At 47.0% G+C, this 25,565-nt stretch overlaps 1 long non-coding RNA gene across 4 annotated transcripts; it reads right to left on the bottom strand.

Moving 5' to 3' along the window:
* Nucleotides 1–5,256: 5,256 nt before the first annotated feature.
* LOC105378646 (uncharacterized) lies at nucleotides 5,257–25,198 on the bottom strand. 4 transcript variants are annotated; one of them, XR_947184.3, is made up of 5 exons: nucleotides 25,158–25,198; nucleotides 22,109–22,259; nucleotides 21,425–21,577; nucleotides 11,041–11,237; nucleotides 5,257–5,427 (listed from the first exon to the last, which is right to left on the bottom strand). It is a non-coding gene; the product is annotated as an uncharacterized LOC105378646 (long non-coding RNA). The 4 variants fall into 4 exon arrangements; XR_007065767.1 differs by having other exon boundaries at nucleotides 21,425–21,541; XR_007065764.1 differs by lacking the exon at nucleotides 25,158–25,198 and adding an exon at nucleotides 24,421–24,460.
* Between the last annotated feature and the right edge of the window lie 367 nt (nucleotides 25,199–25,565).

Here is a 25,565-nt window from a genome sequence, read left to right as displayed (position 1 = left end):
AGACCCCATCTCAAAGGAAAAAAAAAGAAAACACAACAACAACAAAAAAAGACAGAACTGGGTCTAGGCCAGGAGCAGTGAGTGGATCATGCCTATAATCTCAGCACTTTGGGAGGCCAAGGCAGGAGGGTCACTTGAGCCCAGGAGGTCAAGACCAGCCTGGGCAACATAATAATAACCTGTCTCTACAAAAAATACAAAAATTAGCTAGGCGTTCCCAGCTACGTGGGAGGCTGAGGTGGGAGGATTGCTTGAGCCTGGGAGGTCGAGGCTACAGTGTGCTGTGTTCATGCCACAGCACTCAGCCTGGGTGACAGAGCGAGACCCTGTCTCAAAAAGAAAAAGAAAAAGAAAAAGAAAAAGAAAGGCCAGGTGCAGTGGCTCATGCCTGTAATCTCAGTGCTGTGGGAGGCTGAGGCAGATCACTTGAGGCCAGGAGTTCGAGATCAGCCTGGCCAACATGGTGAAACCCCGTCTCTACAAAAAATACCTGGGCATAGTGATGCACACCTGTAATCCCAGCTACTTGGGAGACTGAGGCATGAGAATTGCTCAAATCCAGGAGGCGGAGGTTGCAAGGTTGCAGTGACCTGAGATCAAGCCCCACTGCACTCCAGCCTGGGTGACAGAGCAAGACCATGTCTCAAAAAAAAAAAAAGAAAAAAGAAAAAAGAAAAAAAAAGGGAAAGGAATTGAGTCTAGAGGGACCAAGTTTAGGGAGTAAGGAGTCAGTTTGTCTGTCCAGCTGTTCTTTTTTTTGTCTGTCAGTTTGTCAGTTTGTCTGTCCAGCTGGTCTCACTACATTGGCCAGATTGATCCTGAACTCTTGGCCTCGAGAAATCCTCCCACCTTGGCTTCCCAAAATGCTAGGATTACAGGCATAAGCCATGGTGACCAGCTAGTCCAGTTGTTCCTATATTCATCTATTCACCTAGCCACTGCCCATGTGCCTGTCTCTCTGCCCCGCTTCTCTCGCTATCTTTCATTTTTTTTCTTATTTTTTATTTTTTTGAGATGGAGTCTTGCTCTGTCCCCCAGGCTGGGGTACAATGGTGTAATCTCAGCTCACTACAACCTCTGCCTCCTGGGTTCGAGTGATTCTCCTGTCTCAGTCTCCCGCGTATCTGGGACTACAGGCACCCACCACCACGCCCGGCTAATTTTTTGTATTTGTAGTAGAGACGGGGTTTCACCATGTTAGCCAGGATGGTCTCGATCTCCTGACCTTGTGATCTGCCCGCCTCGGCCTCCTAAAGTGCTGGGATTACAGGCGTGAGCCACCGCCCCCGGTCCTCTCGCTGTCTTTTCTTTTTCTTTGATCTATTGTATCTAGCATTCATTCGTTTGTGCTTCATTTACAGGTCAAGTCCCAGTCAAATAGACCTGCAAAACAATTTACATATAAGCAAAATTTCCCAAGCTCCACTTTTGGAAACTTTTACTTTCGCACAATATTCACACTCTTACTTCCATTCTCTCTCGGGGTGGTTTGCCCCATCCCCCTTCTCTTTCTCTTTCTCTCTCTCTCTCTCTGAACGGGGTGGTTTGCCCCATTCCCCTTCTCTCTCTCTCAACATTTACTCCATCCAGCCTCACCTGGGCCACTGTGCCTTCTCACCCTCGGCCCAGATTTCCTCACCCTTGGCCCTCTGCTGCCTGACTTGTACCCACTCCATGTTGGCCCAGGGTCGTGGGAGGGATTCCCACGGCCTTTCTGCTGTCAAAGGGAGACTCTCTCTCCTCTTTTCCACCTCAGCTGCTAAAGACCTTCCCCACTCTCCCTCCTCAAGCCTCTATCTATTCTGCTCTTCCTCATCCCTTCAACCAGGTCTATTCCCTGGCTCTACCAACTCCACAGAGCCAGGAATGTGAACTTCCTCATTTGCACCCCCCTACTCTAAGTCAAATGATGTCCGTGCTCTTCTCATCCTTCTTCTTTTCCCCTGGATTCTGATTTCTCCTTCTGGGAAAGGCCAGCAACTCCTTTGGGGTTGACCCTTGCCATCCCTAGGTTTTGCAGGACATCTCTTCCTTTCTGCATCTTCTGACTCTTCCTGCATCTTCCCTGCCCGCAGCCCACAGACACCTCCCTGACCCCTGTCCTGCTGCCACCAGCTCAGCCTCCTTTCTACACAGCCACCTGTCAGAAGGAGGACCTCCCACCTGTCTCTGTCCATCACCTCCTTTCCACTCTTCAGTTAGGCTTCTGTCTCCCACCACTCCACGAAGCAGCTCTCACCAAGGTAATCGATGCCCTCCACATCTTCAAATTTAACGATGTCCATTCAGTTCTTTTTTGTTTGTTTGTTGGAGTCTCACTCTTTCCTTCAGGCTGGAGTGCAGCGGCATGATTTTGGCTCACTGCAACCTCTGGCTCCCAGGTTCAAGCGAATCTCCTGCCTCAGCTTCCCAAGTAGCTGGGACTACCGGTGTGCACCACCATGCCTGGCTAATTTTTTGTATTTTCAGTAGAGATGGAGTTTCATCATGTTGGTCAGGCTGGTCTCGAATTCCTGATGTCAAGTGATCCGCCCGCTTCTTGGCCTTCCAAAGTGCTGGGATTATAGGCGTGAGCCACTGCACCTGGTCCACAATGCAATTTTTGATATAATTCAGTTGATTCCTTTTCTTTTTTAAACAAAAAATTTTTTTTTTAGAGACAGCATGTCTGTATTGCCCAGGCTGAATGCAGTGGCACAATAATAGCTCACTGCAGCCTTGAACTCTTGGGCACATACAATCCTCCCACCTCAGGCTTCTGAGTAGCCGGGACTACAGGTGTGCGTCACCATGCCTGGCTAATTTGTTATATTTTTTGTAGAGACAGAGTCTCACTATGTTGCCCAGGCTGCTAACAAACTTCTGGCCTCAACCAGTCCTTCCACCTTGGCCTCTCAAAGTGCTGGGATTATAGGCATGAGCTGCTGTGCCCCATCCTGATTCCTTTGCTTGAAACTTTTTTCTTGCTTGTCTTCTGGGACATCTTTGTTTCCATGTTCTTATCATATCTTTATTTATTTTTAATTTTTTACCTATTTATTTTTTTGAGACAGTGTCTCACTTCTTTTGCCCAGGCTGGAGTGCAGTGGCGTAAGCAGCCTCAACTTTGCAGGCTCAGCCTCTTGAGTAGCTGGGGCTACAGATGCACACCACCACGCCCAGCTAATTTTTGTTATCTCTTCGTAATAATTTCTTCCTAGTACTTCTGCTCAAGATGGCAGACTGAGCTGGCATTTTGCTCCAAACACATAGAAATGCAGGATAGAAGGTTTTTGGGTTTTTTTGTTCAATTTTTAAAAATGTATAGCCGAACTAAAAGCAACAATGGTAAAATTTCAGATTTTCAGATGCCAAAGCAACATTGTGGATTCCTTCAGTAATGAGTGGGAACTGAAGCCATGGAGCCCATAAAGATGTTGAGATCTAAGCCACGGAGCTGGGCTTTTAATGTTTTTTTTTTTTTATTTTAGAGACAGGTCTTGCTCTGTCACCCAGGCTAAAGTGCAGTAGCATGATTGTAGTTCACTGCAGCCTTGAACTCCTAGACACAAGTGATCCTCCACTCAGCCTCCCAAGTTGCTAGGATTACAGCCATAGCTGGGGCTGAGCTTTTAATACTAGATGCCAGGGCAGGAGTCAAGATTACAGGCTAGAACTGGGCTCCTTGCAAAAAAACGAGGAGGTAGGAAAAGGGCTGTCCTGTCTGTTCATTTAGGCTTACAAAACTGTACCGGCTCATTGCCTGGGAAATATGGACAGAAGTGAAAGTGGGACACTCAGCCCAGTCCATGAGAAGTATTCTTGTCAGTCCTGAGATATCAACCTCTGTCCTGGGCAATGTGTGACTAGACAGCTACTATTCTGCACTATCTTCTTCATATAGAAACCCCAATATCAAAATAACCCCAGCCCAAGATCAAAACTGATCCAGAGCCAGTGAATCACATTGGTCAAAGCAATTCACAGTTAATTCAAAACCCAAGGAATTAATAGAATCCTATAGAGGAAAACTTCCCGGAAGGTGTGTTCACAAATAAAAATTACAAAACAAGTGAGGAAATCTAATACTATAAGAGACAATCTGCAAATCATAGATAATAGTGTAATCTAATAGGATAACATTTTTAAAAATTTTATTGTGGTAAGAACACAACATGATTTCCCCTGTTAAAAAAATTGTTTTTTTTTTTTGGTGTTTTTTGAGACAGCCTGGGGTGGAGTCCAGTGGCGCAATCTTGGCTCACTGCAACCTCTGCCTCCCAGGTTCAAGTGATTCTCCTGCATCAGCCTCCCAAGTAGCTGGGATTACAGGTGCCTGCCACCATGCTCGGCTAATTTTTTTTTTTTTTTTGTATTTTTAATAGAGACAGGGTTTCACTATGTTGGCCAGGCTGGTGTCAAACTCCTGACCTCATGATCTGCCCGCCTCAGCCTCCCGAAGTGCTGGGATTACAGACCTGAGCCACCGCGCCCGGCCCCCTCTTAACACATCCTTGGAGTGCAGGAATGAATACCATTTGGTTGTGTTTTTTTGTTTTGTTTTGTTTTGAGACAGAGCCTCACTCTATCGTCCAGGCTGGAGTGCAGGGGCTCCATCTCAGCTCACTGCAAACTCTGCCTCCAGGGTTCAAGTGATTCTCCTGACTCAGCCTCCCATGTAGCTGGGACTACAGGCATGGGCCATTACACCCAGCTAATTTTTGTATTTTTAGTAGAGATGGGGTTCTATGATGTTGGCCAGGCTGGTCTCAAACTCATGGCCTCAAGTGATCTACCCACCTCATTCTCCCAAAGTACTGGGATTATAGGCATGAGCCACTGTGCCCGGCCCCAGCCTCTTATTTTAGAGAACAGAAAACATGTTCATGGAAATTAATGTCACCTAGCTAAAGTCACATAGATTTCTGATTGAAGACCTCAAGCTCTTAACCACTGTTTACACTGCTTCACTTACCACATGCTATTTTAATCATATACAAAGGCCTCTATTTCCTTCAAAGGACCAGGAGCAGCTTAAGGTCAGGACAGGATTGGATTTATTTCTGTGTTATCAATAAATATTTGCTTCATTGGATCTTATTGACAGCTTTGAGGATGGAGTTGATATTGGGTGGGTGTCCACAAGAATTAAAGATGGAGTTAGTTTAGAGGTTAGTGGGTAGGAGTGTGTTTGTGGGCAAGTCGTATCTTTGAAGCCTTATGGAAAGAGGAGCTTGATGAGTGAGGTACCTGAAGGATGCTGACTAGGAATCTGAGTCTCTGGGCCTGAAGCTGGTCCTCCTTGGATGGTCCTTCTGTTTTTTGGGGTTGGGGACACTGGATAAGGTAGGAACGCACGGGGTGGATGTGATGAAGGGGCCACATTACACGCATCCACACTCCTCACTGGACTTTTGGATGCAGAAGAGAGAAATTTGGAGCTCATTCCTGAGGGAAAAAAAATTTCTTGATTCAAAAATCAAGTATACAATGTCAGATTCTCAGTTTTGACCAAGGTACCATGGTAACAGAAAATGTCAACAGTGGAGACATTGAGTGAGGGGTATAAGGGAACTTTCTTTGCTGTCCTTGTAACTTTCTTTGTAAATCTAGAATTATTCCAAAACAAAAGGTTTATTAAAGACAGAAAAGCAAGTTACAGCTGAACTGATGGCTGGAATCCCAGAAGAGCACAGCCTCTGAACAGAAGGGAAACGTCTGCTGTCCTTAGACAAGCTACTTCCCTGCTCTCAACTTCAGTTTGTTCATCTGAAAAATGGAGAACTATCTTTTTGCAGAGTACCTGCTGCAGATATGATGATAATGAAATGAGAGGAGGAACAGGAAGGTGGATCAGGGTCCCACCAAAGCAGTGAGCTTCAGGACCAGGTCCAACAGGAAAGCAAGTCCTAGTTCTGGGCAGAGGCATTGAGGAGGTTGGGTCTGGTTCAGCCCAGCACACTAGACACTGAGGCAGACTGGTTCAAGGTCCTGTCCTAAGACATAAGTCAATAACTCCTGACAGACAGCTTGATGGGACAGGAGTAGGCTAGGATTGACACTTCCTCTGAGATGATGTCCCCAAAGCCTTGGGGCCTGGATGGTTGATCTCTGGCTGGTCTTGTCCTCCTGGATCTCCTGGGAGAGATAGACAGTTCAAAAAAGGCTGAGAGTCCAGAGCCCAGTAAGAGTAGAAGCCCTGGGTGTGACCTCAGAGGACAGGTCGTTCCTCCCCATCCACGGAAGTAGGAGGACAGGCAGCAGCTCGTAGCCAGAGGGACAAAGTGGCAGCTTTAGTCTGGGGGCAATGAGTGAAGCTGGGCTCTGGCAGGTAGAGGCTGAGCATTTCTGCATGCCTTAGTCCTCCTTTGCATTAATTACCTGCTGACATGGTTTGCACTGCTCTCCCTTAGTGCTATTTTAATTAACGGAGATCTCCTCCGAGCAAACCAGCTGCTGTGTAAGTTGTCAAACTGTCAGCGGGCACAGGATGGGTGTCATGGGGACATTAAGTGTGAGAACTACCAATGGGCTCCCCATCTTCTTGGCACATTAGAATCTCCCCTTAAATCTATCCCATAGTAAAAGTGGGCAAAAGAATGTCAAGATCAAGAAGTTGGCTTTGGGTTCAGATAGATTTAGGTCTGAACTTTGACTCTGGCACTAATTTACTGTGAGACTTCCGGCAAATCTCTGAATCTTCCTCATCTGCAAAATGGGGGAGAGCAATACTTATTTTGTCACAAGCAGTGTGGTAGATGATGTACAATAACATGCTCCACTCAGTGCCTTTAGTGCTCAATAAATGACTTGTTATTAAGTACATTTTCCTGGTCATCTAAGTGTTCCCTATTAAGCCCTTTGTAAGTTTATTATGGCCTGAGAAGAACATTTAACTTAAACATACATGAGAAAAATCCCAAAGTTCTCATTATTAACTTTCTGTTTTTCTGTATATTATTACTCAGTGTTCAGAGAACCCTTATTTTCTCAGTAGCTTGGCCTCTCAGCTCCCACCCTTTAAACCATTAAGACCCTACATTCCTCTTCCCCCGTTCCTTCCCTTTCCAGCTGGTCCCTGACTGGACTGAGCATTCTCTCTGAGGCTCTTAAAGTTTACGTGCAGCTGCCCCCTCTGAATAAATGAGCAAATGTGTAAACGGAGGAAATGGCTGAGTTGAGCTCTGAAGGACGAATAGGAGTTAGGTAATGGGAGAGAGAGCGGGGAGAGGAGGGTGTTCTGGGCAGAGATAATACCATGTTCAAATGCTCAGAAGCAAGAGATAGTGTGCTGGATTTGGGGAACTGAAAGGGTTTAGCTGAACTGAAAAGGCCTGGAGAAGGCAAGGGGGTAGGTGTGAGAGACAAAGCTAGAGAGGAAGGTGGGGTCTGACACAGAGGGCCTTGGAAGCCCTCTTTCAGAGTTTGAAACTTATCCTATAGGCAGATAATGAAAGAAGACAATGAAAAATTTTATATAGCAAAAGGATGCATTCCGTTTTTTTTTGTTTGTTTTTTTTTTTGTTTTGAGATGAAGTCTGTCTCTTGTTGCCCAGGCTGGAGTGCAGTGGCATGATCTTGGCTCACTGCAACCTCCACCACCCAGGTTCAAGTGATTCTCCCGCCTCAGCCTCCCAAGTAGCTGGGATTACAGGCGCCTGCCACCACGCCTGGCTAATTTTGTATTTTTAGTAGAGACAGGGTTTCATCATGTTGGCCAGGCTGGTCTCAAACTCCTGACCTCAGGGGATCCACCTGCCTTGGCCTCTGAAAGTGCTGGGATAACAGGCCTGAGCCACCACACCTGGTCCAGATTTGTATTCTATTCTATTTATTTATTTTTAGAGGCAGGATCTCGCTCTGTTACCCAGGCTGGAGTACAGTGGTGCAATCATAACTCACCAAAGCCTTGACCTCCTGGGATCCTGACTAGCTAGAACTAAAGGTACGTACCACCATGCCTGGCTAATTTTAAAATTTGTTATAGGCCAGGCATGGTGGCTCACGCCTGTAATCCCAGCACTTTGGGAGGCTGAGGCAGGGGGATCACTTGAGGTCAGGTGTTCCAGACCAGCCTGGGCAGCATGGTGAAACCCTGTCTCTACTAAAAATACAAAGATTAGCTGGATGTGTTGGTGTGCACCTGTAGTCTCAGTTACTCGGGAGGCTGAGGCAGGAGGATCACTTGAGCCTGGGAGGTAGATGTTGTAGTGAACCAAGAGCGTGCCACTGCACTCCAGCCTAGGTGACAGGAGTGAAACCCTGTCTCAAAAAATAAAATAAAATTTGTTATAGAGATGTGGTCTCCCTATGATGCCCAGGCTAGTCTTAAGCTCCTGGTTTCAAACAATCCTTCCTTCTCAGACTCTCAAAGTGCTTGGATTATAGGCATGAGCCACTGCACCTGGCCTAGATTTGTATTTTATCTATCTATCTACCTATCTATCTATCTATCCATCATCTATCCATTTATTTTTGTTTTTACTACACCCACATTTCAGCAATATGGTTTTGTATTTTCTTTTCTTTTCTTTTTCTTTTTTTTTTTTTTTTTTGAGATGGTGTCTTGCTCTATCCCCCAGGCTGGAGTGCAGTGGTGCGATCTCAGCTCACTGCAAGCTCCGCCTCCCGGGTTCATGCCATTCTCCTGCCTCAGCCTCCCGAGTAGCTGGGACTGCAGGCACCCGCCACCATGCCAGGCTAATTTTTTTTTAATTTTATTTTTAGTAGAGACGGGATTTCACCGTGTTAGCCAGGATGGTCTCGATCTCCTGACCTCGTAATCCGCCCATCTCGGCCTCCCAAAGTGCTGGGATTACAGGCATGAGCCACTGCGCCGGGCCTGGTTTTGTATTTTCTTTTCTTTTTTTGAGACTGAGTTTCACTCTTGTTGCCCAGGCTGGAATGCAATGACTTGATCTCAGCTCACTGTAACCTCTGCCTCCCGGTTTCAAGCAATTCTTCTGCCTCAGCCTCCCAAGTAGCTGGGATTACAGGCGCCCAGCTATACGCCAGGCTAATTTTCATATTTTTAGTAGAGACAGGGTTTCACCATGTTGGCCAGGCTGGTCTGGAACCTTAGGTGATCCGCCCACCTCAGCCTGGGAAGTGCTGGGATTACATGTGTAAGCCGAAATTGTGCCACTGCACTCCAGCCTGGAGGACAGAGCGAGCCTCCGTCTCAAAAAAAAAAAAAAAAAAAAAAAAAAAGAGCTCTTTAGGAGGTAGAAGCTACATAATTAATATTAATTGGATCTGGGAAGAGGGCAGAGAAAGAAGGAGGCAATAAGTGGTAGTCAGAGAGGTAAGGAGACAAGAGAGCCGAGACTTGTCAGGAGAGAAGACAACCAGGGGGAGAGAGTTCCAAGAAGAAGGGAATGGTCAACAGTATTCACTGCTGCTAAGGGGTCCCTACTGGAGGGACTGAGAAGTGAACATTGTGTCTTGCTGGGACCCCTGGTGAACAGTTGTGTGTGTGTGGGGGGTGGGGTGCAGGAGACAGATTGCAGTGATTTGGGGAATGAGGGGGTGATAGGAGGAGAGAGGGAGTAGAGGCAACTCTTTTAAGAAAATTGGCAATGAATGAAAGGAGAGAGACTGAGTGGCAGATAGAAGCAAATGTTGTATAGAAGAAGACTTTTATTTATTTTTTTTTGAGATAAGGTCTTGCTGTGTCACACAGAGCTGGAGTACAGTCATGTGATCACAGCTCACTGCAACCTTGACCTGTGGGATTCAAGCGATCCTCCCACCTCAGCCTCCCACCTCAGCCTCCTGTGTAGCTGGGACTACAGGTGTGTGCCACCATGCCTGGCTAATTTTTTAAAATTTATTTTAGTAGAAATGGAGCCTTACTATGTTGCCCAGGATGCTCTTGAACTCCTGGACTCAAGCAATCCTCCCACCTTGGCCTCTGAAATTGCTGGGATGACAGATGTGAGCCACTGCGCCTGGCCAAGAGAACTCATTTTTTTAAGATGGAAGAGACAGCACCATATCTATCTGTGAAGGGAAGGATCTAGTAGAGACCAAGAGAGTGAAGACGCAGGAGAAAGGGGAGAAATTGATGATGGAGCAAGTTTTCAGGTGATGTGGGAGCGGCAGGATGTAGAGCATCAGTGAGCAATCAGCCCCACACCCTTCTGAGATGAGAGAAGACAAAAATGAGACAAATGTGAGTAGCTTCTCCTGATGGTGGTGGTGGCTCAGGAAGTTATAAGGGTCTCCTTCTGATTGTCCCTAATCTATTTATGTTCTCTGTAAAGAAAAAGGTGAAGTTGGCCGGGCACAGTGGCTCACGCCTGTAACCCCAGCACTTTGGGAGGCCAAGCTGGGTGGATCACGAGGTCAGAAGATCAAGACCATCCTGGCTAACACAGTGAAACCCCGTCTCTACTAAAAAAAAAAAATACAAAAAGTTAGCCGGGTGTGGTGGCGGGCGCCTGTAGTCCCAGCTATTAAGGAGGCTGAGGCAGGAGAATGGCGTGAACCCGGGAGGCAGAGCTTGCAGTGAGCTGAGACTGTGCCACTGCACTCCAGCCCGGGTGACAGAGCAAGATTCCGTCTCAAAAAAAAAAAAGAGGTCAGGAGTTCGAGACCAGCCTGACCAACAGGGTGAAACCCCATCTCTACTAAAATTACAAAAAGTAGCTGGGCATGGTGGTGCAGGCCTGAAATCCCAGCTACTAAGGAGGTTGAGGCAGGAGAATCACTTGAACCTGGGAGGTGGAGGTTGCAGTGAGCCGAGATTGTGCCACTGCACTCCAGCCTGGGTGACAGAGCAAGACTCCGTCTCAGAAAAACAACAACAACAACAAAACTCAAACAAACAAACAGAAAAAGGTGAGGTTTTGTGCTGAAAGCGATGCCAGGAGGCCTAGAGATGTGGGGGTTTGAAGCAGCTGTTATGGGGAATGGCAGGACACCTACTGGGGGCTTGTGAAAGGCTGAGACCCTCATGAAAGAACAATTAACACATGCCACTCCTTGGATAAAGCTCTTCCTTTCCCTGAGCTCATTTTAAAAATCACCCAAGTGGGGACCCAGCTGCGTATTGCTCACCTGTGGGGGATGCATCAGAGAAGCCAGGAGGAGGGAGGCAAGGGGCTTGGGGCAGCTGATTTTGTGCAGACATCCTATGAGATGTATTTGATGACTGGCATTGGTCTCAGGGATAAGGGCTCTCTAACATCAGGGACAGCAGCTCAGAGGATCCCCAGCTTCTGCTCAGGAGGGTGAGAGTGGGAGCCCCTGGGCATCTGTGGAGAGGCAGACCAGGAGGGAGAGATGAGAGTTCTGTTCTTTCAAACCTGCTCCCTTCTCTCTCCGCCTTGGCCCCAGACACATTGATTCTCTGCTGAAACAAATGTCCTGGAGCAAAGCTGCAGGTCTGCGGTGAAATCATTTGCTAACCAAGGTATTCTCCCTGGCTCATGGATGTTCAGTCAACTCAGCCCTCCTTAGGCTGGAAGATTCTCAGTTTAATTGTGTGTCGGCACATGTGCCTCTGTGAGTGTGAGAGAGTATGTGTGTGTGCATGCACACATACTCACATGAGCCTAAATGGCAGTGTATGAGTATGCTTGTAAGAGTGTGTTTGTGAACTTGGACATGTGTGGGTCTGTCTGAGAATGTGGTGGACAGTGTGTAAGTGTGTGTTAGCCTGTAAAGATTTGTGTGGGCCTGTAGGGGAGTGGGTGAGTGTGTCTTAGTGAATTCATGAACTCGTGTGGACACATAAGCCCTAGCCGAACAGTAGGAGCAAGGTGGACCTATGAGAGCCTCTGCATATGTGCGTGGGCTTCTGTGTGTGTCATGCCTGTAATGCCAGCACTTTGGGAGGCCGAGGCAAAAGGATCACTCAGGTCAGGAGTTCAAAACCAGCCTGGCCAACATGGTGTGGAGCCTGTTTGTCAATAATAGTAAGAATTATTAATTAATAAATATTAATTTTTAATATTTGTATCATTTATATTTTTACAAAGCATTTAGATATGCTTCTTATTTGATCCTCACAACCTTGTGAATAACATAGGAGAGAACATTCTATAAAAATTCCACATACCAGACAGGCGCAGTGGCTTACGCCTGTAATCCCAGCACTTTGGGAGGCCGAGGTGGGTGGATCACCTGAGGTCGGGAGTTTGAGACCAGCCTGACCAACATGGAGAAACCACATCTCTACTAAAAATACAAAATTAGCCAGGCATGGTGGCACATGCCTGTAATCCCAGCTATTTGGGAGGCTGAGGCAGGAGAATCGCTTGAACCCAGGAGGTGGAGGTTGCGGTGGGCCGAGATCACACCACTGCACCCCAGCCTGAGCAACAAGAGTGAAACTCCATCTCAAAAATAAAATTCCACGTACCTTCATGATGTCTACTATAAATAGTGTGTTAGAAAGGGTATATGTGGTTGGGCTCGATGGCCCGTGCCTGTAATTCTAGCATTTTGGGAAGCCTAGGTGGGACCTGTAATCCTAGCACTTTGGGAGGCTAAGGTGGGAGGATTGCTTGAGCCCAGGAATTCTAGCCCAGCCTGAGCAAGATAGTGAGACCCTGTCTCTATTGAAAGAGTAAAAAAGTTAAAAAAGAAAGGGTATATATGAGTCTAGGGGTGGGAATGAGAGTGTATGTGGATAGTCCCAAGTGTGGATGAGGTAGACCTGGACACTGAGGCACAGCCTTTCACATGCCCTCATCTGCCTGTATCAAAGGGCAAAGGGGCCCCCTTTTAGCACAGGCAGAGCTGAATTGGTCTAGGCTGTCTCACTATGCACACAGAACGGACAAGGAGATGCCCAAAGGGAGGCTGGAAATATCTAGCTCTTGGTCAACCGTTCACTCTTCTTCAACCTGTATCCTCACCCTTCTCCCAATCTACTGAATCCTTCTATTTTTTTTTTTTGAGATGGAATCTGGCTCTGTTGCACAGGCTGAAGTGCAGTGGTGTCATCTCGGTTCACTGCAACTTCTGCCTCCCGGGTTCAGGTGATTCTCCTGCCTCAGCCTCCTGAGTAGCTGGGATTACAGGCACACACTGTCACGCCTGGCTAATTTTTGTATTTTTAGTAGAGACAGCGTTTCGCCATGTTGGCCAGGCTGGTTTTGAACTCCTGACCTGAAGTGATCCTATTGCCTCGGCCTTCCAAAGTGTTGGTTTTACAGGCGTGAGGCACCGTGCCTGGCCCTGATTCCTTCTTTTGCTTAAAAATTTTCTTAGGTTTTCTCCATTCCAAAATGGGCTTGCCTCTCCTTAAGCTATCATTGAAATCCTTTTCTTTCCTTCACTAACACGATTCTTGGAAGAATAGTTGCAGTCAGTGGATACACTTCCCCTTCATTGTCTCTGCAACACACTGTGGTCTGACTTCCACCCACACTCTTGATAGAGCTGCCCATACATACAGATGTTGATCCCAAACCCAATGGGCTTTCTCACCGCCTGTCTGAAACACTTGACCCTGCAGACCCTCTTCTCTCCCCTGAAACCCTCTCCTTCCCTAGCTTCTGCGATAGCACTCTCTGCTTCTCTTCTTCCTCTCTTGTGATACTTGTTCGGGGTCCTGTGCTCCTCCCACCTACCCTTTAAATGCTGGCGTGGGCTCCAATCCTCTTCTGTTCATCTATGTCTCACCTATGCCTGAGTCATGTTCTCCTAACTCACTCATCTCTGTCTCCAGCCCAGATGTCTCTCCTGCAATCTAGACACTTTTAGCCTGTTCCTATTGGACACCCTCTCCCATCATCTTTCTCACAACTGAGTGTGTCCAATACTGGTTTCATCATCTTGTCCCTAACTTTCTTCCCCTTCTCTTTCTCTGACCCCACCTGGTACCATTACCAACCCAGTTGTTACCCAAGCCAGAAACCTAGGAATCATCCTCTACTTCTCTCCTTTCTTAAACCCCTGTATTCTTAGGCACCAAGTCTTGTTTATTCTACATCAACATATTTTATTTTATTTATTTTTTTGAGACAGAGTCGAGACGGGTTTCACCATGTTGGCCAGGTTGGTCTCAAACTCCTGACCTCAAATGATCCAACTGCCTCGGCCTCCCAAAGTGCTGGGATTACAGGCATGAGCCACCGCACCCGGCCTACATCAACACATTTTAAATTTAACAAATGCTTACTGAGCCACCACTAAATGCCAGACAACATCTTCAGAACAGCTCTGTAAGTCAAGTATTATTATTCACATTTGATAGATGAGGAAATTCAGAAATGTATGCATCTTAAAAATGTTCTTTTCTCTATATTCCCAAGACCACTATAATCTCTCTCCCTGTTTCCCTCATCAGGCTAGGAGTTCCTTGAGGTCAGGAATGAAATTATGCCCCAGTGCCCTGGCAAAGTGCCCAGTATCCTATGTAAATCTAGTAGGGGATCATTAATGGAAGGAAGAGAGAAAGGAAGGAAGGATGGAAGGAAGGAAGTATGGGAGGAAGAAGAGAGGGAGGAAGGAAAGAAGGAAGGAAGGAAAGAAGGAAGGGAGGGAGGAAAGAAGGGAGAAGTGAAGCAGATTCACTGTGCATTGGTTACCAACTTGTCTGAGTCTGGTGAGAAAGAACACCCACACACACAGCAGGTTACATGAAGCGGAGTTATGACTTACAGATAGGCAGCAAGGCATAACCAAAGCCTATGATTCATTGGGAGCTGGTCCCCCAAGGCTCAGGAAAGCTGCCCAGGGTGGATGAAATCTCATCTGTGCAGGCCTCACTTGCACTGCAGCTGAGGGACCCCAGAAAGCAGCCCACCCTGGGTTTTATACCCCAAGGTTGATGATTCACTGGACTGAAGCATTGAAGGCTATTCTGTTTCTAAGGAGCAATGGAACAAAGTCTGGGTTGTTCTGGCCAGTTCCTCCCTATCTCAGGATGTTGTATTCCCAGCATATTCTACAGTTATTCTTGAGAACTACAGGCAAAAAAGGGAAGAGAACAGGGTTGATTCAAGGCCACCCAGAGAACTATACTGCAGTAGAGAGGAAAGCATTCACATTCACCCTCATTCATTCCTACCCTCTCCTCTGACTTTGAGCTCCATTGTTTGATGCACGTGTGTGTGTGACAGCAATGGAAAACTAATTTTGACAAGATCCCCATTTAGACACCATGTATCTAATGACAGCATTGTCTAAGAGATATTAAGCACAGTTGCATCCCTGTGTCAAGATCCAATTAAAAAATTTTTTTTTGAGACAAGGTCTTGCTTTGTCACCCAGGCTGCAGTGCAGTGGCATGATCACCACTCACTATAGCCTCCACCTCAAAGGATCCCCGCCCTCAGCCTCCCAAGTAGCTTACACCACCATGCCCAGCTGATTTTTAAAAAACTTTTTGTAGAAACAGGGTCTCACTATGTTGCCTAGGCTGGTCTCAAACTCCTAGGCTCGAGCGAGCCTCCCACCTCAGTCTCCCAAAGGTCTGGGATTACAGGTGTGAGCCACCATGCCTGGCCCCCATGCATTCTTTTTTTTTTTTTTTTTTTTTCTGTGAGACAGAGTCTCACTCTGTCGCCCAGGCTGGAGTGCAGTGGCACAATCTCGGCTCACTGCAAGCTCCGCCTCCTGGGTTCATGCCATTCTCCTGCCTCAGCCTCCCAAGTAGCTGGGACTACGGGTGCCCGCCACCACCACACCTGGCTAATTTTTTGTATTTTTAGTAGAGATGGGGTTTCACCGTGTTAGCCAGGATGGTCTCGATCTCCTGACCTTGTGATCTGCCCAGCTCGGCCTTCCAAAGTGCTGGGATTACAGGTGTGAGCCACCGCGCCTGTCCTCATGCATTCTTTTTTGTTTGTTTTTGAGACGAAATCTCACTCTGTGGTCTGGGCTGGAGTGCAGTGGCATGACCTTGGCTCACTGCAACTTCTGCCTCCCAGGTTCAAGCTATTCTTGTGCCTCAGCCTCCTGAGTAGCTGGAATTACAGGCGTGTGCCACCATACCCAGCTAAATTTTTTTTTGTATTTTTTAGTAGAGATGGGGTTTCACCATGTTGGTCAGGCTGGTCTCGAACTCCTGACCTCAAGTGATCCACCCGCCTTGGCCTCCCACAGTGCTGGGATTACAGGTGTGCACCACCGCACCAAGCCCCCATGCATTCTTTTATTTAATTATTACACCTGTGCTATGAGATTGGTATAATTGGTCACCTCATGAGAAAAAAGGCTTGAAGAAATATCTTGTGCAGCTGATAAACAACAGAGCCACATTGGAACCCAGATCTGCTGACTCACTGTTACTCTAACGCCTGTGTTACTCTGTCTAGAAAGTGAGGACTGAAGACCAAACCTATAGCAACTATAAATGTATATTTCATGGAAATTGTTTGAAAATGATAACAAATGAGAATGGAGGGGCTTTTATTGTGGTGGAGGAGGTCCGTTGAGGTCCCCAGAGCCAAGTGCAAAAGTGTCTGTGATACTAATAGTGTCACATTTGTTCAGAGCTTTGCAGTTTACATTTTGTTTTTATTGCTTATTTTTAAATTGTGGTAAAATATACGTGACAGGAAGTTTACCATTTTAACCATTTTAAGTGTGCAGTGTTGTGGTATTAAGGACGTTCTTATTGTTGTGCTACCATTACCACCATCTATTTCCAGAACTCTTTTCATCCTGCAAAAATAAAACTCTATACCCATTAAACAATAACTCCCCACTGCCCCTCCCACAACTCTGGAAACCATCATTCTGCTTTCTGTCTCTGTGAATTTGACTACTCTAGGTACCTCCTATAAGTGGAATCATGCAGGCTGGGCACGGTGGCTCACGCCTATAATCCCAGGACTTTGGGAGCCCGAGGCAGGCAAATCACCTGAGGTCAGGTGTTCGAGACCTGCCTGGCCAACATGGTGAAACACCGTCTCTACCAAAAAATACAAAAATTAGCCAGGCGTGGTGGCGGGCACCTGTAATCCCAGCTACTCGGGAGGCTGAAGCAGGAGAATTGCTCAAACCCAGGAGGCAAAGCTTGCAGTGAGCCGAGGTCGCGCCACTGCACTCCAGCCTGGGCGACAGAGCGAGACTCCGTCTCAAAAAAAAAAAAAAGAAAAGTGGAATCATGCAGTGTTTGTCCTTTGTGACTGGCCTATTTTGCTTAGCATAATGTCCTCAAGGTTTATGCAGTAGTATGTATCAGAATTCCCTTCCTTTTAAAAGCTGAAAAAGTATGTATATACCACATGCAGTATACATTTTTATATACTTACTTGGGTGTATAATTTCATACAGTGGAGATTATGTCCCCATTTTTCAGGTAAAGAAAGAGATTTAGAAGGGAAGTGGCTTGCCCTAGAGACAGACCCAGGGCTAGGACCCAGACCCCATCTTATTTTCTCTCCTCACGCATTACTTCATTATAAGGCTTCCCAGGCACAGGCCTCACACTCCTCTGTGTTTGAGATCCTCAGACAGCGTATGGTGGTGAGGGGTGTCTGACCATGCCCGTCATCATACAAGCCATCGTAAGCTAGACCTAGCTATAGAAGACACAGACTGCGACAGGGACTCAGACCCCATACGGACCTCTACGGACAAACCAGAGAGAGCCTGTGGCTGTCGGTAAGGAGGGGGCTTGTTAGGCAGAAACTTTGAGCTCTGGCAGAAGGCAGTGAGAGCTGGCTCTGACCTGAATGACAGGATCATCAGAAGGAGGTGGGATGATGAGATGTGGGGGTGGATTTTTAGCATGGACCAGCAGGGGCCCAGAGAAAGAAGGTTTTGTAGGATTTGGCCAGGAGGTTCCCTATGCATTTGCCAGACAGGCTAGCAAGCTGCTCGCTTGCATTCCTATGAAGCAAATTGTTCCAGATGGAACTTTCAAGGTGGGTGGGAGTAGGAGGAGGGAAACACATATAGATAGGGTGGCTTTACTGAGCCTGGCACATAGGAATAGGTGTGTTTGAGGGGGGACTCAGGTATGAACCTGCATGGTAGAAAGTGCAATGCCATGTGCAGGGTCATGTACCAGATCCAAAGAAGGGTAAGGGACTTCCAAGCGATCTCAGCTGCTGGGTGAGGACTCTCTGTGTTTACTCCCAGCCCCACCCTGGACTTTGTGGAAGGGAGGCATCAAGAGGACAGATCACATCACGTCAGAACCTGGCACGAGCTGGCTCCCGGCATCCTTTGGCTAATCTTGCCCTGGTGTAGGCCATCACAGAAGCCCCCTGGATATTGCCTGATGCCTCATTAATGGCATTGCTGAGCTCATTAATTTGATTTTTCTCCTCTCCTCAGTCTTCCAACTTGGAGCTGTCACCTCAGTCACTCCCAGCCTGGGGCTGGGTTTGCACGGAGGATGCCTCAGAGGTTGCTATCGGTCTCATGACACAGATTCAGAAAGACCCGACTGCAGCTCCCTTTGGGGGTGCAGTATTTTCCTAGGGGTGTTGCAGCAGAGCACCACAAACTGAGTGCTGAAATTACAAAATGTATTATCTTGGGCTGGTGCAGTGGCTCACACCTATAATCCCAGAAGTTTGGGAGGCTGAGGCAGATAGATTACATGAGTCCAGCGGTTCGAGACCAGCCTGGGCAACATGACAAAACCCTGTCTCTACTAAAAATACAAAAAATTACCTGGGTGTGGTGGTGGGTGCCTGTGGTCCCAGCCACTGGGGAGGCTGAGGGGGGATGATCACCTGTGCCCAGGGAGGTCGAGGCTGTAGTGAGCTGAAGTCACACCACTGCACTCCAGTCTGGGCAATCAGAGTGAGACTCTGTCAAAAAAAAAAAAAAAAAAAGGAAAGAAAGAAAGAAGGGAGGGAGGGAAAGGAAAGACAGAGAGAAAGACAGAGACAAGGAAAGAAAGAAAGAAGGAAAGAAAGAAAGAAAGAAAGAGAAAGCAAGCAAGCAAGCAAGCAAGCAAGTAGGGAGGGAGGGAAGGAAGGAAGGAAGGGAAGGAAGGAAGATGCTGAGTGCAGTGGCTCACGCCTGTAATCCCAGCACTTTGGGAGCCTAGATGGGTGGATCACTTGAGGTCAGGAGTTCAAGACCAGCCTGACCAACATGGTGAAACCCCATCTCTACTAAAAATACAAAAATTAACTGGCTGTTGTGGCATGCACCTGTAATCCCAGCTACTTGGAGGCTGAGGCAGGAGAATCACTTGAACTCAGGAAGTGGAGGTTGCAGTGAGCTGAGATCACGCCACTGCAGTCCTGCCTGGGTGACAGAGTGAGACTCTGTCTCAAAAAAAGAAGAAAGAAAAGAAAGACAGAGAGAGAAGGAAGGAAGGAAGGAAGGAAGGAAGGAAGGAAGGAAGGAAGGAAGGAAGTTTGTTTTTGTCTTACAGTTCTGGAGGCTTGAAGTCTGAAATCAAGGTATTGGCAGGGTTGGTTCCCTCCTAGGGCTCCAGGGACAATGGTTCCCTGTTAGGGCTCCAGGGAAAATCTGTTTCATGCCTCTCTTGTGGCTTCTGGAGGATAGCTGGTGTCTTTGGTGTTCCTTGGCTTGAGGATGCATCCCCCCATCTCCGCCTTTATCTTCACATGATGTTCTCAGTGTGCGTGTGTGTGTGTGTGTGTGTGTGTGTGTGTCTGTGTCCAAATTTCCCCTTTTCATAAGGACACCAGTCTTATTGGATTAGGGCCCACCCTAATGACCTCATTTTAACTTGATGGCATCTGTAAAGACCCTATTTCCAGTTGAGGCTACATTTTGAGGTAGTGGGGACTTGGAATCCAGCATATTTTTTTTAGGGGACACAATTCAACCCATAATGTGGGAATCTTTTGTTCTTCAAAACCCTCCTCTGAACACCATGTGTCTTTAGGAAACTCATAAGCCTTTGTATCCAGAATGGCATGAATTTAAGCTCAGGAAGAACTTCCTAATAGGATGTAGTGAAAGTCATGACTATGGCCAGGGGCAAGAGCAAGGAGAGGAGGGGGAAGAGAGGAAAAAGGAGAAAGTAGAGAAGGAGAGGGAATGAAGGAGAAAAATCATATCCAAACTCTGTTTTTTTTTTAGGGGGGGAGGTGGTTGGGGAGGACCAGGTCTCACTCTGACGCTCAGGCTGGAGTGCAGTGGTGCAATCAAAGCTCACTGCAATCTCGACCTCCCAGGCTCAAGTGATCCTCCCACCTCAGCCTCCAGAGTAGCTGGGACCACAGGTGTGTGCCATGATGCCTGGCCAATTTTTTGTAGAGGTGGGGCTTTGCCATGTTGCCCAGGCTGGTGTCGAACTCCTGAGCTCAAGCAGTCTGCCCACCTCGGCCTCCCGAAGTGTTGGGATTACAGACATGAGCCTCCAAATTCACTTTCGATATGCTTATAGGAGGAAACCATGTTAAAGTCTTTCTAAGAACATGGGTTGAATCTCTCAGCTGGACCCAAACCAAAGCCTTGGCCAGAGAATATGATTTATATTAAAGACCCCTTCCTCTCACAGCCAAAATGTTGAGGGAAAGAAGTTTCACATAAAAGAGAATGTATTGGCCAGGCGCAGTGGCTCACGCCTGTAATCCCAGCAATTTAGGAGGCCGAGGAGGGTGGATCACCTGAGGTTGGGAGTTCGAAACCAGCCTGACCAACATGGAGAAACCCCGTGTCTACTAAAAATTCAAAATTAGGCCAGGCACGGTGGCTCACGCCTGTAATCTCAGCACTTTGGGAGGCTGACGCGGGCTGATCACGAGGTCAGGATATCGAGACCATCCTGGCTAACATGGTGAAACCCCATCTCTACTAAAAATACAAAAAAATTAGCCGGGCGTGGTGGCAGGCGCCTGTAGTCCCAACTGCTCGGGAGGCTGAGGCAGGAGAATGGTGTGAACCTGGGAGGTGGAGCTTGCAGTGAGCTGAGATCATGCCACTGCACTCCGGCCTGGGCAACAGAGCAAGACTCTATCTATCTCAAAAAAAAAAAAAAAAAATTAGCCTGGCGCGGTGGCGCAAGCCTGTAATCCCAGCTACTCGGGAGGCCGAGGCAGGAGAATTGCTTGAACCCGGGAGGCAGAGGTTGCGGTGAGCCGAGAGCGCCATTGCACTCCAGCCTGGGCAACAAGAATGAAACTCCATCTCAAAAAAAAAAAAAAAAAAAGAGAACATATTGCAGATTCCTATTTACATAAGAGTGAAGACTAGAAAAACAAATCTATGGTGATAGAAGTCAGAAGTGGTTACTGTTGGGAAGGATAAGCTGGGAGTGGGCATTACAGGGCCTCTAGGGTACATTGACTGGGTGATGGTGTACGTATATGTGACAATTCACAGAGCTTGATATTTAAGACGACTTCAGTTTACTATAATTAAATCATATCACAAAAATCAATCAATCAATCAATAAAATAACCCCTTTCTTACTTTTTTCACCCCACTGATCACCCCAGGCCACTCTGTCCAGTTCTCAGGCTGTTTCCATATTCTGTGCTCACAAATGTGAAATAAAATAGAAAAACAACTAGCATGATGTTCAGCACATAATAGTACTCACAAAATTTAAATTTCCTTTATGCACCTGTGCACATCATGTTCTGGGGATACAGAAGGAGAGGTGTCCACAGATGACCTGGGATTCTTCTCCATCAGCCATCCGTGGAATGTGGAGGCCCTGGGAGTAGAAGCATGTTCAGGCTTTGGTGGAAGACTGGTAAAAAATAAATAAATAAATAAATAACGTCCCCTGTCCTCAGGAACAGAACACAGCCCAGCAGAAACCCCAAATCATAATTAAAAGATGCCCTGCAACTTTCTTGGCAGCATACATTTTGAAGATGAAAGTAAATGATTAAAATAATTAAACACTTCAAGCTGACAAGCTGGAGCAGAATCTTGCCAGCGGACGTTTGTCAGTAATTAGCTAATTAATCCTGGCGCAGATTATAAGCCATAACAAACCAGTCAGGTTGAACAGAGCCGGCTGCTCAGAATTAGACTTTTAAAAAAGAAGAGAAGGGTTGGGGGAGGAGAGGACAGATAAGAGGGAAGGAGGAAAACTAAGAGAAGAATAAGACAGGCATTTGGGGCCACCTGGCTTTACCCTACCAGACAGGGCAGGCACAGCCTAGAGGGGGCTTCCTGGAGAGTTTTGGGCCTGTCTAGGCTCAAGGCCCAGCCCATGCTGGTACTTCAATCCAAATGGATACTGGGGTTGTGGGGGAGAGGGAGGGCTCTGTACCTCTGGGCCCCAAACCAGAAGGAACAGTGGGATGGATAGGAGTCCTCTGACCATCCAGGTAGGAGGTGATGTCCCCATCAGGTGGATACGGCATTATTCCATTTCTTCTTCCATTCAACAAAGGACTCTAAGAATGACAAGGGTCTCATTTCTGTGGAAAGAAATGACAAGATCCAAATAGGGAATCAGGGCCCAGTCAAGCAGTCTGGCTCACGGCAGGCTCTAGACCAGTGCTGAGCAACACAAATACAATGTGAGCCACAAGTGCAATTAAATAAAGAGAAGCAGATGAAATTCATTTTAATTATACATTTTATTTAACCCAGTATTTCCAAAATGCAAGTATTTTGTCATTATGGTTAATATGAAAACATTTTTTTCATGAGCTATCTTACATTCTTTTTTCCTAAGTCTTTAAATTCCCGTATGTATTTTATACTTTTAGCCCATCTCAACAACTCAGACTAGCTATATTTCAAGTGTTCAACAGCCATGCATGGCTAGCAGCTCCTGTATTTGACAACACAGCTCCAGATATAAAAAGAAGTAGGGGAGAGGGATCCTAAGCCCTGGGACAATCTGCAGCGGGGGTAGGGGAAATCAGAGTGGCATGACCTCCTCATTGTCTGTGTTTCTCTCCTTGGCCATTCTTCCACCTCGCTGCCCTGGCTGGCTGTTTCCAACCAAATCGGCCTCACTTTCAAGGCTCTCTAAAGATGAAGGTTCTGGGAAGGACAGAGAAGAATCCAGAGGAAATGGATTCCTGCGCCGGTGCATACACATGGGGCAGGGGAGTGCTACTGCTGCTGCACAAAGAGTTATGCCCTGCAGTCTGGGAGCACGATTGTGTCTGTGCACCTGTGTGTTTCAGAGATGCTCCAGCACACCAGCACTGACCTTCAGGCAGCCTCTTGCAGCCTCAGTCCCTGGGAAAAGCCCAGTTTCCTTCATAATCATGTCAGGGAAGGGACAAGAGATGGCACATTTCACTCTAATGGAATGTTCTGGAAAGACTGTCAGAGGAAATTTGTCTCTTGGAAAATGATCAGAATCTTTTTGAGGTGAAGATCAACCACTTCTAGGCAGAGACCAGTCCATCTTCCACTGCCATTCTGGCTTAAGTTCTCCACAGATGAGTTGAATCCCTCAGAAGCCACATCAAAGTTCTGGAAAGAGTGAGGGAGTGAAAGGACACAGCCCCTGACCAGTGGCATGGACTTGTTGGTGCAGCCAGTGCCATGGGCTCCACTGCCCAGAGGAGAGCTCTGGAGAGGGCAGAGGAGGCAAGAGGAAGAAGGTGGGCTCTGAGAGCCACACCCACAGCTCAGATTGCAGGGCAACAGAAGCCACTTTGTCTTCTAAACTCACCTCCCAAGGAAAAAACCCTTCTTCCTCCACTCCCAAAGTGCACCCTTGTTTAGTCAAGCCTGTGTCCCCTGCCCGTAGGAAGGAGGAAAGCTCTTTTTAGTACACCAGCAGAACTACATTTGATGATGCAACTTAGTAACTTTGTGCTTAAGAACAAAGCAGCACTGCTTAGGGCCAAGGGAGGTGAAAGAGAATCTCCTGGTGGTCAGAGCTCGGGGACATCCCTGTTAGCTGGGTTGATCAGGGAAGGCCTCAGGAAGAGGTAAGCTTGATCTGTACTTTGGAGATGGGAGGAATCAGAGAACAGAGAGAAAAATGGAGGGCACTTTGGCGGGGAATTTAACACAGACCCTCTTACTCATTGCACATAGCTCTTTAAAGCTTACAAAGTATGTTCACATGTGTAATCTCATTTCATCCTCATTGGACTATGGGATCCCAGAGGTACTATCTCATTTGAGAAGCAATTCAGCATAGTAATTAAGAGTGCAGTTTTTGAATTTCTGGTTAAATGTGGCAGATGGAATAAATGCATTTATATCTGCTCCCTCAACAAACCTCACAAAAATAAAAGTAAAGCGATGTAAAGAAGCCAATGGTGGACCACAGATGTCAACACATTTTTGGAAGATGGCAAGTGGATGGACGGGTTGGCAGAGCTGAGATAGCTGCATACCAAGTGCTATAGCAAAAGATGCCAAAGAGAAGTCAGTCAGTTGGAGACCTAGGACAAGGGAAAGATTAGATATTGGAGGCACAAGTTATTGCAGAAGGTGGGAGTGAGGTATGGGCTAAGAACAAGGGAATGGGTTGAAATTCTGCATAAGAACCAGGTCCCTTCCATAACATACACAGGCAGATAACTACATCTTCCATATCTTGTCAAGGACTGGAGGTTTTATTCTAGTTAAAAAGTGAAACAGGCCAGGCGCAGTGGCACATACCTGTAGTGCCAGCTACATGGGAGCCTAAGGTGGGAGAATGGCTTGAGCCCGAGAGCTTGAGACCAGCCTGGGAAACATAGTGAGAACTTGTTTCTAATTAAAAATAAATAAAGCCGGGCATGGTGGCTCACACCTGTAATCCCAGCACTTTGGGAGGCCAAGGCGGGAGGATCACAAGGTCAGGAGATAGAGACCATCTTGGCCAACAGGATGAAACCCTGTCTCTACTAAAACACAAAAAATTAGTTGGGTGTGGTGGCACGTGCCTTTAATCCCAGCTACTTGGGAGGCTGAGGCAGGGGAATCACTTGAACCTGGGAGGCAGAGGTTGTGGTGAGCTGAGATCGTGCCACTGCACTCCAGCCTGGCGACAGAGCAAGACTTCGTCTCAAAAATAAATAAATAAATAAATAGGTCAGGCGCAGTGGCTCACACCTGTAATCTCAGCACTTTGGGAGGCTAAGGTGGGCGGATCACATGAGGCCAGGAGTTTGAGATCAGTTTTGCCAACATGGCAAAACCCCTCCTCTACTAGAAATACAAAAATTAGCTGAGCATGGTAGTGCATGCCTGTAACCCCAGCTACTCGAGAGGCTGAGGCATGAGAATCGCTTGAACCCAGGAGGCAGAGGTTGCAGTGAGCCAAGATTGTGCCATTGCACTTCAGCCTGGGTGACAGAGTGAGACTCTGTCTCCAGAAAGTAAAAAAAATTAAAAATATATATTTAAAAACCCACCAAAGTTACTCAGGAGACTGAGGCAGGAGGATCGCTTGAGACAGGGCATTCTAGAATGTGGTAAGTTATGATTGTGCCTGTGAATAGCCACTGCATTCCAGCCTGGGCAACGTAGCAACACCTCATCTATAATTTTTTTTTTAAGTGAACCAGGGATACTTCATTTCAACACCGGGCACAGTGGAAAGCAGGTGACAGATGTCATAATGAAAACAGGTGTGTTAGGAGACAGTCTGAACATTAAGACCCTAGGCTCATGAGACACAGTTTGTAGAATACTGATGGCCAGGTGAATACCCACCCTCTCAGGTGGAGATTAGGGATTTTTTTACTAGGGAAACTGAGTAGAGGAAAGATCTTTAGCTGGCCATGGTGGGTGGCTCACACCTATAATCCTAGCACTTTGGG

This window comes from Homo sapiens, chromosome 1, assembly GCF_000001405.40.
Source record: "Homo sapiens chromosome 1, GRCh38.p14 Primary Assembly".
Taxonomy (NCBI): Eukaryota; Metazoa; Chordata; class Mammalia; order Primates; family Hominidae; genus Homo; species Homo sapiens.
The sequence above is the reverse complement of the archived record's forward strand: the minus strand, read 5'-3'. Positions and strand labels throughout refer to the sequence as shown.